The 12,278-nt window shown below is 36.1% G+C and overlaps 1 protein-coding gene and 1 long non-coding RNA gene across 5 annotated transcripts in view; one reads left to right on the top strand and one right to left on the bottom strand.

The window, feature by feature from the left end:
• EFEMP1 (EGF containing fibulin extracellular matrix protein 1) overlaps positions 1-11,253 on the top strand; it is a 57,816-nt gene extending 46,563 nt beyond the window's left edge. For 2 of the 4 annotated variants that reach the window (NM_001039349.3, NM_001039348.3), the window contains 5 exons: positions 478-597; positions 2,155-2,274; positions 6,097-6,220; positions 6,305-6,500; positions 9,986-11,253. In NM_001039349.3, coding sequence (NP_001034438.1) covers positions 478-597; positions 2,155-2,274; positions 6,097-6,220; positions 6,305-6,500; positions 9,986-10,147 — 722 coding nt within the window. In that variant the 3' untranslated portion in view covers positions 10,148-11,253. The remainder of the gene's footprint in view (positions 1-477; positions 598-2,154; positions 2,275-6,096; positions 6,221-6,304; positions 6,501-9,985) is intronic. The other 2 variants (XM_017003586.3, XM_005264205.5) reach the window with 1 other exon arrangement.
• Positions 1-12,278, bottom strand: part of LOC112268416 (uncharacterized) — a 53,528-nt gene that overhangs the window by 466 nt on the left and 40,784 nt on the right. Inside the window, exon 3 of the long non-coding RNA XR_002959388.2 lies at positions 3,252-3,337. This is a non-coding gene — a long non-coding RNA (uncharacterized LOC112268416). The remainder of the gene's footprint in view (positions 1-3,251; positions 3,338-12,278) is intronic.

Here is a 12,278-nt window from a genome sequence, read left to right as displayed (position 1 = left end):
TGTAATGGAATTTAACAGAACCCATTTAAAAAGTAATAAATAGCACAGATAAATCTTCAGTACAGCATGCTGAGAGACCATATCAGTATAAGTGTCTTATATCAATTATTTATAGAATTGGCATTTTGTATCTGAACAACAAAAGAAAATCGATACCGGAGTGTATATTTATTAGAAGCATTAAATTCCTTTGGAAAGATTCATCAAACATCAAACTAACTGTCATTCCTAGAAAAAATATTTCGGTATTTCCAAAAGAAGTATATGACAGACGTTTGTAGTTGTTCCAACAAATATGAAACCTAAATGGATGTTCTCCAGTGAGCTTCTGCAGGGCAAATAATTCAGCTAGGGAATTACTCACTTGTCAGCAGATGACGTAGGTACAAAAGAGTAAGGATATGTTTAAAGTCTATATATATATGTGTGTGTATATATATACATATACATATATATATATATAAAACTTTTTTTCAGATATAAATGAATGTGATGCCAGCAATCAATGTGCTCAGCAGTGCTACAACATTCTTGGTTCATTCATCTGTCAGTGCAATCAAGGATATGAGCTAAGCAGTGACAGGCTCAACTGTGAAGGTAAAACTCTTCCCAGATAGTATGGAATAAAGTCCAATTCCTGTGACTGCTGTTGTTTTATCTGATTATGTACCCATTTATGAAAACAAACGCTTACCCATGGGAATTCTGTTCTAAAATCCAGTTAATGTAGTTCAGTTGTTACATTGCCTTTTTAGTGTGTTACCAAGAAAAAGGAAAAGAAATAAAAATAACTGAAATATTAGGTGCAGGCTGGCTCTAATAATTAGAAAGGGTGCTCTAGCATGTTGCGTCTCAGTGTGTTATCCAGTGACCAGGTATGTCAGCACCTCCTGGGAGCTTATGAGAAATGCAGAATCTCAGGCTGCAACCCAGACCTCCTGAGTCTGAATCTACATTCAACAAAAACTGCAGGTGACTGGTGTGCACATTTAAGTTTCAGAATAGCCAAGTGCATGTCAAAACATTAAAATAAAAATCAGGAGATCTGGTTTCTGGTTCTATTCCTGCTACTGTGTGACTTGGGCACATTTCTTGAGTTGCCTGGGTTTCACTTTCCACATGAACAAGAGGAGGGCCATTTAACTAGATTCATGACCTTCAGGGTCCATTGCATGTGCACATTTCGTTATATAATTCAAAAGGCATTAGACATCCTGAGGGGGATGCCACAGACACTTGATGTCCCTGACCTCCTCACGGTTCACTCAGCTTTACACAAAGCTCAAACCCCACCGAGAGAGGCCTCACATCATGCCATTACACTCAAAACTGAAAGAGGCTACCTCAGGACAGCTGCCTCTGCCCTTCTGAGTAAACTGTAGGGACATCACTATTCAGAAATGCAAAGCATTCTTCCCCTGAAAGTCAGATCCTGCCAAGCTGTCATTCTGGAAGCTTGCACAGGTTAGGGGACTTGGCATTCAAAGCTCAAATGAACTTGGCTTCAAAGTCACCCAATTTCTGAGAAGACAAACATGAACTCTACATCCTGGATGGGTCTGCAGAGTCCAAAATGAAGGCCGTCAACCACAAGCCAATTCATTCAGTAGTGTAGTTAGGTCCAGGATTAGCCAAATTGTCAGCAATGATTCAGTAAAAGTCATGATAAGAAAAACTTTTTGTGCTATGAAGTCATAGAGGGAAATAAGCTGATATTGTTAGAATTTGCCTTTTAGCTGCTTATAAAGTTTTGTATTTCTATTTCAGAATTTGCAATATTTTTACTCTCTTTAGCTCACCTCAAAAGTGTATTACTTCCTCTGGACTGTTGAGCAGAACAAAAAAAATATATATGTGTGTGTGTGTGTGTGTGTGTGTGTGTGTATATATGAAACCCAGGCAACTTAAGAAATGTGCCCAAGTCACACAGTAGCAGGAATAGGACAAGAAGCCAGATCTCTTTATATATATATAGGTAGATATAATTTTTCCTCCTTAAAATATAAATAATTTTAATTATATATAATTATTTTAATATAGATATTTTAAATCTTATAATTTATATATATATATAATTTATATATATATATATATCCAAAGTAGTGGTGCACAAACTTTTCAACTCTGTGTCCTTTCTCTTGTCTAATTCAACAGACATTGATGAATGCAGAACCTCAAGCTACCTGTGTCAATATCAATGTGTCAATGAACCTGGGAAATTCTCATGTATGTGCCCCCAGGGATACCAAGTGGTGAGAAGTAGAACATGTCAAGGTAAGTTTATTTTTTTTTTCATATGTTAGGTATTTAGTTTTAGCCAGGAAGAGACAAGAGGAAGTTATAGGATTCTCCTATAGACTTTCATTTTTCCCACTTTCAATATACAATTTAAGCTCTTTTTTCCCCTGTTCATCATAAAATATATACATCTCATAAAGAGGTGATTCTATGCTAATGCCGACATTTTTCGTCCTTAAAAGATAAATAATTTTAATAAAATATTGATATGTATTCTATGTAACCTACATCATCTCTTTGAGATACATCTTCAAATCATCCACTGGAAAAGATTCAGTTATTAAAATGTTTCACCTGTGAGTTTGAGTTTAGAGCATAAGCTCAATATGTGAGTTAAACATACCTCCATCCAGTCTTAGCCCTCTAAAACACAAGGATTATAAATTGCGTAAGAATGTAGGTGCTGAGAAAAGTCAGCCTAATATGTTGTAAAATATAGTTGAATATTTTAGAGAAAACTACTAGCCCCAAAATAGCTAATGACCTTGGGTCCAGTTTCAAAATAAACATTCAGATGATCTTCACACCTATACGTAAGTGGAAGAGGCAGCTCCCCACAATGGTATGATTTCAGAGTTTCTCAGGAAGATCTAAAAAAAAAAAGGACCCTACCTCCAATGTTGCATGTAGTTGAAAATTTTCTTAACAGGGAAAGGACTGTCAGATAAAACCAAAAACGTAGAAAATCCTGGAAAAGCTAGTACAAACACTTAAATTTACACAAAGCAACAAAAGAATGAAAAAATGACCAAACTTGACAGAAAACCTGTTTGAATCCCAGCTCCACTGTATTCAGTCTGCACAATCTTGAACAAATTATCAAACTACTCTGAGCCTCAGCTTCCTCATTTGGAAAAGGGAGTTGTGGGAATTTAGTGGAATAACATACATAAAAATAATTTGTAAACTATAAAGCTTGTACAGGTCAAGGTGTTTTTATGAAATTTACTTACCAATGTAAGTGACCAGTAGTACGTCTTCTGTAGAGAGTCCTTTTTAATCAGAGTTGGAGTGAAGGCACACAAGGACAATAAAGATCCTGTTAAGAAAAGAAAGATCAAGGAAAGGAGACACTGGGGATTCTCAGTCTATATCATGATTTTACAGGAAAATATTAACTTAGAGGAAATCCATTACCTGGGATTTTATAATAGGCACACAATTTTTCGACTAGACTCCAACCACTGAGTATGAGCATAATCAGAATGTAGTTCATTGCACAATGAACATCTTTATAACCCTTTCCAGGTTACTAGAGACTTTATAAATGTTAATTATGGGAAAACATTGCATTCCAATGATTTTACTTACTGAACCCTAATTGAGACTTTCAACATGCATATTACATGCAAGAAAATGTTAGCTAGTGGAATGTCTTAACAAATTTCTCTGGAGTCCTTCAAACAAATATCTATGTGTTTCTGATCAAAAATTGATTTGATGCTCAGCAAAAGACAGAAGCAGATTAATGCACGGTGGGATCCGACCTGCCTAGCCTATCTATGTGGAAACATTTATATCTATTGTAATTAAAGGTGGAAAATGCACCAAAATTGTAAGTGGGGGATTCCTAAATGTTATATATTGAAGATATGCAGCTTCAGAATGTTTGGTTAAGCCAAAACATTTTTTGTGAAAAAGACTTAGCATTCTTCTAAAGTATAAAGCAATTGCTTTCTCCTACGGAAATCGTTCCTTCTGAGCCTTGTCCACAGGAATAAAATGAAATTGAAAGTTTTGGATTCTTAACTTTCTCTAAAAGACTTATTTTGTGGATGAAATAACTGTTCTCATTTCACAGGCCTATACAAATGAAAACTGTGTGTGTGTGTGTGTGTGTGTGTGTGTGTGTGTGGAGAGAGAGACAGAGAGACAAAAGAATACACATACACATAGACACACACTCATCAAATATTTTGAGAGTATTAATTTCTGAAAAATCTTCCAGAATGATTAAGGTGATGATTATGCTAGGCTCTACATTAATGGAAGTAATAAATGAAATTATAAGGTTGTCTTTTGCTTCTGTTGGACTCCATATAACAAATAAGTATTAGTTTTCCCTGTACCTAAACAGCATCTTTATTCTTCAAAAAAGTGGAAAATACTGAAAGGATAAGTCAATTGTGATTTCATTTGAAGAATCTAAGTTTTCTTTCTTCAGCCATAGCCAGCCCAAGAAGACACTTTTTGTAACTGTCTCTTGGAGACTACCTAGCTTTCCCAGTCTGTTCTTGAGTTCCAGATAACTTTAGCCAGTTTGGAAGCTAAAATACTTTTTTTTCCTCCAAAGTCAAGGCATGAATTATTTAGAGTATATGAACTTGAATGAGCCACTAAACCCTTATTTGTTTTTCATCCATATCAAGTGGAAATATCTTTCTCACCTACCTCCACACAGTTTGTGTGAAGAGCAACTTAGTTCAATTTAATATTTCTTAAAAGCCAGATGCTCTATTGCATTAATGCTAGGTGATGAAAGGATTAAAAGATGGGTACAATAACCCTTGCCCTCAAGGAGTTTACAAGCTAATAGAAGGGTTAAGCTAGACATGCAGATTGCAATAATGCAAAGCAGAAAGCAATAAAGGCCCTTAAAAAAGAACACCGGGTATGAGAATTCAAAAGAGATCATATCCCAGCACCTAGCCCATGCTTGGCTTACAGCAAGGATTCAGTAAATTACTTATGGAATGAGTAAATTCATGAATAAAAATATCTCATTGTGGAGAAGGAATGATTCAGAAAAAGTTTACATTGAATAAAATATAAATCACTATTCAAATGTAAAGGGAGACAGACATAGAGATGTAGATATTAATTTTATTTTTATTGTTGTTGTTGTTGTTGTTATAAATGTAATGGCTCTCTAGTAAAACTGTTCTCTCAGATGTCATCTGGAGGCTTCTGATTCCCAAATTTAAAGTCAATCTTTGTCCAGCCTGAGGTAAACACAACCCTTCTTCCCAGGATTCTCTCTCCCTCTGACTTCTTTGGCATTGCCTTTTCCTGGGTTGTCTCCCTGCACTGACAGCCTCTTCCTTAACTTCCTCTTTTTCCTTACAGTCCTAAAATTGCTATGCTCTATGAGGTGGAACACTTCATAGTTTCACTTCCTGTGCTGTGCTTCCTCTGGACAGTATAATCCACTCCCAGCATGCTTCAGCTTACTGAAACCAGATTTCTAGCCTTTACCTTTCTCCCAAGTTCCTGAAAGAGATGATAAGCTGCCCTCCATAGTTTATGCTTCCTGATTTCTCAGCTTGGAAAGCCTTCCCTGCCCCAGCCATGAAAACTCCATCTAACCACCACCCTTCAAGGCCACGTTGAGATGCCTCTTCCTTCCTTCAGCCTTCCCTAATCCCCCTGGCAAAATTACCCAACTCTGCTCCACATGCCCCAGTATACTTATCTATCTCTTACTTAATTCCATTTTACTTTCTAAGTAATCATATACACATTCCCTCAATTATAATGTCCCTGATGACAAGAACTGGTGTTTAACTTTTATATAGGCAGAGTCAGTGGTTAACATTGGGGTTTGAATTCAACAGATGAACAATAGGTGCTTGATAAAATATCATGAAATGACACATATTAATCTGCCTAGAATGTCTCAGCTCTGTCTGTCCTGAATTCAATACAATGAACACCCAGTCTTGTGTCTAAAAGCAGGTTGAACACAGTCCAGATGCTCTCACACCTCCTTCCTTGCAAACAGAATCTGCCAGTTATATGATTTAATTAGATCAGTTCATTAGTTTAGTTAGTAAACTCTTTGACCCTACATCTCTACAGATATAAATGAGTGTGAGACCACAAATGAATGCCGGGAGGATGAAATGTGTTGGAATTATCATGGCGGCTTCCGTTGTTATCCACGAAATCCTTGTCAAGATCCCTACATTCTAACACCAGAGAAGTAAGAAAAATCAGAACTTTTGAAAGTGAGGATTTTCTGGTCTTACCAAGCCAAACTGCTGAATACTTTTGTTTGTCTCTGCAGCCGATGTGTTTGCCCAGTCTCAAATGCCATGTGCCGAGAACTGCCCCAGTCAATAGTCTACAAATACATGAGCATCCGATCTGATAGGTCTGTGCCATCAGACATCTTCCAGATACAGGCCACAACTATTTATGCCAACACCATCAATACTTTTCGGATTAAATCTGGAAATGAAAATGGAGAGTTCTACCTACGAGTAAGTATCCTGAAGGCAGCCTTAACTATTGAGAAAGATGGGAGTTTGTTGTTGTTGTTGTTGTTGTTGTTGTTGTGTGGTATCCACATGTGGAAGGAAAGCAAACATTTAAAGTGTCTTATGTGTAGGCATTGTGTAAGGCCTTCCAGCTACATTATTTCATTTATTCCTCTTGGTAACACTGCCAGATAGATATTAATATTCATCTCCATTTTTTACAGAGGAGAAAAGTGAGATGCAGAAAGATTAAGTAGCATCCCTGAAATCACTCAAATATTAAGTTTGGCAGACTCTGATAGAGTTGTGTGTGACCACGAAAATACAAGCCTCCCATCCCCCCGCCTCTGCCCCCACCCAACATACCCCCCAAGTAGGTATCACTAATCATTGATGGTTAATTAATTATACATAGACATACATATAATTCAAACCCAAAATAATTCCTGGAGCTCCTAAAGAGTTTTTCAGACATCATGAATTCATCATTGTTACATTCACAAGACAGTTTGTGTTCACACCGAAACTAAAACCTATAAGTATGTGAGAAGTGACCCCACCTCCCCGCACAGTATGTGTCAGTAGTTGTACCATTCTTGCCAACTTCTGGGCTGGCAGTATGGAGTCATCTCCCTATCTTTCATTGCCTGTGTGAAATCTACTTTCTGAATTCTGCCATTTCCCTCTTCACACTGTCTCCTGGGTTATCTTTGCTTCCTCACATCCCTATCTCTCTTCCTATAAACTGGCTCCCGTCACTTCCATGATCCCTTCAGTGGCTTCTGAGCTGGTCTCCCTGACCCCAAAGCCTCAGCCTTCCAGTCTCCCTACAAAATCTCAGCAAGTTCATTTTAGGTTAAAATTTGGACATATTTTAAATACGGCTCACCACTTCATGTGAAAATGATGGCACCCTACCAAGCAGTTTGCAGAGTTACGGTAACTGTTTCATGCTAATGATGTTATTCATCCAGTTACAATTTTCTCAAAACTCCTTTGGGCACTCTTTATTTTTAATCAAATTTTAAAGCCAATATTTCATTTTGAGAATATGAATTAAATTGGGAAATTCATCCTTGTGGTACAGTTTACAGATTTTTAATGTTTACCCATTTATCCTGTTTTTTGATATATTAATTTCCCATATAGCTCCAGAGTTATGTGATATTATTTCTTTGCCAGTATATTAGAAAATGATTAATTTCTCATGACCAACTTCTGAAAAGAAAGACCCAATGCAAAATGCAATCTATTACAATTATTTTTTTGAATAAAAAAGAATATATTATAGTTCTTTAACATTTGATATTTTAAATTTGACATATTCTTGATATTTGTAAGAAATTTCCACTGAATGAATTTTACACAATTCAGATACTACCAATTAACTAATTCTAGCCTAAACAAATAACATTATTTTTAAATAACAAAATCTTTAAAAATAATTTTCTATTTTGAACTTTTAGCCATAATGTAAGAAAATAAAATTTTCTAGCAGAATAATCAAAGAGTGAAACAAAGTTCCAACATGTTTTTTCTTTGCAATTAAACATGGCACTTTTACAGTTATTTATTATTCATATCAGTGCACTTACCGACTTCATATTTTCAAATCAAAATACAGTGTTTTTCTCCAGTGAAATCCTTATTCTCATGACTGATAGAAAACATTGCCAATTTTGATATTTCCAGAGTTAATGTTAAATTATTTGAAAGAAAATTATTTAAAATAATAAAAATAGACATTTCAAGACTATTTCTTATCACATAATTCAAAAAGTACTTGGATCAAATCCTACAGAGTTTCTCCACTAAAATTCTACTTGTGCAGAGGGCATTGAAACGCATGAAAATCAACAGCAGGTTAGTTAGGTTAATTAATTCGGTTAATTAAGCACCTACTACATGCTCAGCTCTATGCTAGGTGTCATGAGGAATTAAAAGGACATGTAATGCACATTTTCTGATTTCAAGGAGCTTTAAATATTATTGTGTAGAAAAAGTTAACATCTATGAAAATAGAAGTGGGGCAATTTTGTGCTTAATTCCATGGTCCAGATACATCAAAAAATCAATGTGGGCTGTCAAAGAAGGTTTCTTGATAGTCATGAGTCAGCCTGATTCTTGAAAGGATATGTGGAATATAAAATTTTATTTATATTCCTTTTGAGAAAATACTGAGAAAACCATCTTCCCTGGAAAAGAGAACGTATTGTAAAGAAAGTACATGAAATTGAAGGTTGAATATCCAACATCCCCCACACTGCCCCAGTGTCTCTGCTCCCTTACTGAGCCTTACTATTATTCTTCATAGCCCTATCACTACCTAGTCTAGTATTCACTGAACTGTGTCATCCACTAGAATATGAGCATAATGAGAGCAGAGACTACACCTGTCGGTTCAGTATTCTATCCTCAGCACATAGAATGGTACCTGGCACATAGCAGATGCTAAAATAAAATTTAAATGAATAAATTAATTCAATCAACACCTTCAAGGTGTTATTATTACCTACAACTATTGTTTACAAGAGGTATGCACCGTGGAAGATCCTGGAGACACAACAATGAATAAAGCCAAGCCAGTTCCTGCCCCCGTGGAGCTTGTAGTCAAGACATTGAACAAGTGATCAGAAAGATGTTGACTGCTGCAGCAGAGGGTTGCAAGCTGCTCATGAGTATATAACAAGTAGCCCTAACCAAAGCATTCTCTCCCTTGGTTTAATGTCCACCCATTGAGGTGACTGCTAAATACTAATCCATGACTCTATCCCTTGGCATTCAAACTCACACATCCACTTACCTGCCTCTCCAACCTCATCTCCCTCCACTCACAAGAGCCCATCATATTATTCATCAAAATGAAACTGCACCCAGTTCTTCTGAACATATTACTTTACAAAACTTTCATTTATGCCTGGTGACTCTCATCAGGCATTCAAAAGCTTTCCCTCAGTGCTTCAGGGCTCTTCCTTTTCTTCCCTTTATACATACACCTTTATGTATCTTCATACGTACCCTGCATAACCTCATATATCTTAGCATTTACCATATTCTGTTGAAAAACTGTTTCCATTTCTCTTTACTTACTAGAATGTAAACAGATGCACAATGTTGAGAAAATGAAAAGTGACAACTTTGTTTACAAGTTTAGAAATTATCAGATTCTCACTTAAGCTCTAGTCTCTGTAAAGTCCACAACTACTCAATAAAAGTGAAGAAAAATGTTAACAGAGAGGGAGGAATCAAAAACAAAGAACTATTTAAAAAAAAAAAAAAGCAAGTCCTTGAAACTTGGAGCTAATGACTGTATTAGACAAGGGATAAGAGCCAAGAAGAGTTGAAACCAAGAAGGGACCAAGTAGTGGCTCTTTTATACCACCTTCAAAATTCTCCCCCTAATTCTTATAGGAGGTATACTAACAAAGCATAGAAACTCCAATCCAAGAAAATTATTCTCTTCCTTTCTCTATTTTCTTTTATTTTAGCAAACAAGTCCTGTAAGTGCAATGCTTGTGCTCGTGAAGTCATTATCAGGACCAAGAGAACATATCGTGGACCTGGAGATGCTGACAGTCAGCAGTATAGGGACCTTCCGCACAAGCTCTGTGTTAAGATTGACAATAATAGTGGGGCCATTTTCATTTTAGTCTTTTCTAAGAGTCAACCACAGGCATTTAAGTCAGCCAAAGAATATTGTTACCTTAAAGCACTATTTTATTTATAGATATATCTAGTGCATCTACATCTCTATACTGTACACTCACCCATAATTCAAACAATTACACCATGGTATAAAGTGGGCATTTAATATGTAAAGATTCAAAGTTTGTCTTTATTACTATATGTAAATTAGACATTAATCCACTAAACTGGTCTTCTTCAAGAGAGCTAAGTATACACTATCTGGTGAAACTTGGATTCTTTCCTATAAAAGTGGGACCAAGCAATGATGATCTTCTGTGGTGCTTAAGGAAACTTACTAGAGCTCCACTAACAGTCTCATAAGGAGGCAGCCATCATAACCATTGAATAGCATGCAAGGGTAAGAATGAGTTTTTAACTGCTTTGTAAGAAAATGGAAAAGGTCAATAAAGATATATTTCTTTAGAAAATGGGGATCTGCCATATTTGTGTTGGTTTTTATTTTCATATCCAGCCTAAAGGTGGTTGTTTATTATATAGTAATAAATCATTGCTGTACAATATGCTGGTTTCTGTAGGGTATTTTTAATTTTGTCAGAAATTTTAGATTGTGAATATTTTGTAAAAAACAGTAAGCAAAATTTTCCAGAATTCCCAAAATGAACCAGATATCCCCTAGAAAATTATACTATTGAGAAATCTATGGGGAGGATATGAGAAAATAAATTCCTTCTAAACCACATTGGAACTGACCTGAAGAAGCAAACTCGGAAAATATAATAACATCCCTGAATTCAGGACTTCCACAAGATGCAGAACAAAATGGATAAAAGGTATTTCACTGGAGAAGTTTTAATTTCTAAGTAAAATTTAAATCCTAACACTTCACTAATTTATAACTAAAATTTCTCATCTTCGTACTTGATGCTCACAGAGGAAGAAAATGATGATGGTTTTTATTCCTGGCATCCAGAGTGACAGTGAACTTAAGCAAATTACCCTCCTACCCAATTCTATGGAATATTTTATACGTCTCCTTGTTTAAAATGTCACTGCTTTACTTTGATGTATCATATTTTTAAATAAAAATAAATATTCCTTTAGAAGATCACTCTATCTTTGGAGGTTTTTCAGTGTAGTCAGTAGCCCCCAATATAATTTTTATATCTGGGATAAACATCAGTTATAGGTGCCAGCACAAGAACTACCATTAGGTTTTTTTTTTAATAAATAAACTGGGAGATGAGGAAGCAAAAATACAGTTAAAATCATGCCACAAAACAGCCAACTTTTTCTTAAGTCTAGTTTCACAGCATATATGCATAACCTCTGTCACCAGGTAATCTTGCTGCTAAAACAAATACCTCTCAAAGAGTTGACTCATGTGCAGAAATTGCCAAAAAGAAAGTTCAGCAAAAGCCCAAGGAACAAAACACAAACTCCTTCTGTGAGAGTAGGGGATGGGCTCTTAAAGGTTAAAGGGGCACAGAAACAGTGGAGAGAGAACAGATCTGACCAAGGGACAGCACAGAAGCAGAGTCAACAACCAGCCACAACACAGCAAGACTGTTGAGTTCATTCCTCTTACCCTGTCTACATGGTTGCTTACAGTCAAGATAAATTACAGCTTGATCTAAATGTTTCCATTTTTAATCAATCTAGTGATTTTCCTACATACAAAAACAGCTCTCAAGTGAGAGCTGGGAATAGCAACAGTTAAAGAAAAAAAGCCTAAGACCTTCTTCCAACACATTTTTCCCTCTTAAACAAGAAAACCGGTCTTGTCTATGGCTCCCCAGGGAATTGTAGAAGAAACAGGAATCTCTGAAATGTTTATGCTAAGCCCTGGCCCTCAATTTCTACCTCCAAATATATATATATATATATATTTTCTGGGCCTGCGGAAGCCATTAACTGCAGACAAGATGTTTGCCCTTTTATCCCAAAGCCTAGTCCTACCCACAAATTACAGACACAAGGAAGAGGGTTGATACTGAAGTTTCACTGAGGCAATTTCTTTGTTCTGTTGTGATAAAATTTACCATTTTAGACATTTTAAAGTGTACAGTTCAGTGGCATGGAGTACACTCAGAGTGTTGAGCAAATATCGTCACTATCTAGTTCAGGGGCCCCCAA

Source organism: Homo sapiens, chromosome 2 (assembly GCF_000001405.40).
Source record: "Homo sapiens chromosome 2, GRCh38.p14 Primary Assembly".
Taxonomy (NCBI): Eukaryota; Metazoa; Chordata; class Mammalia; order Primates; family Hominidae; genus Homo; species Homo sapiens.
Note: the sequence above shows the minus strand (reverse complement) of the source record. Positions and strands in the feature narration are given on the sequence as shown.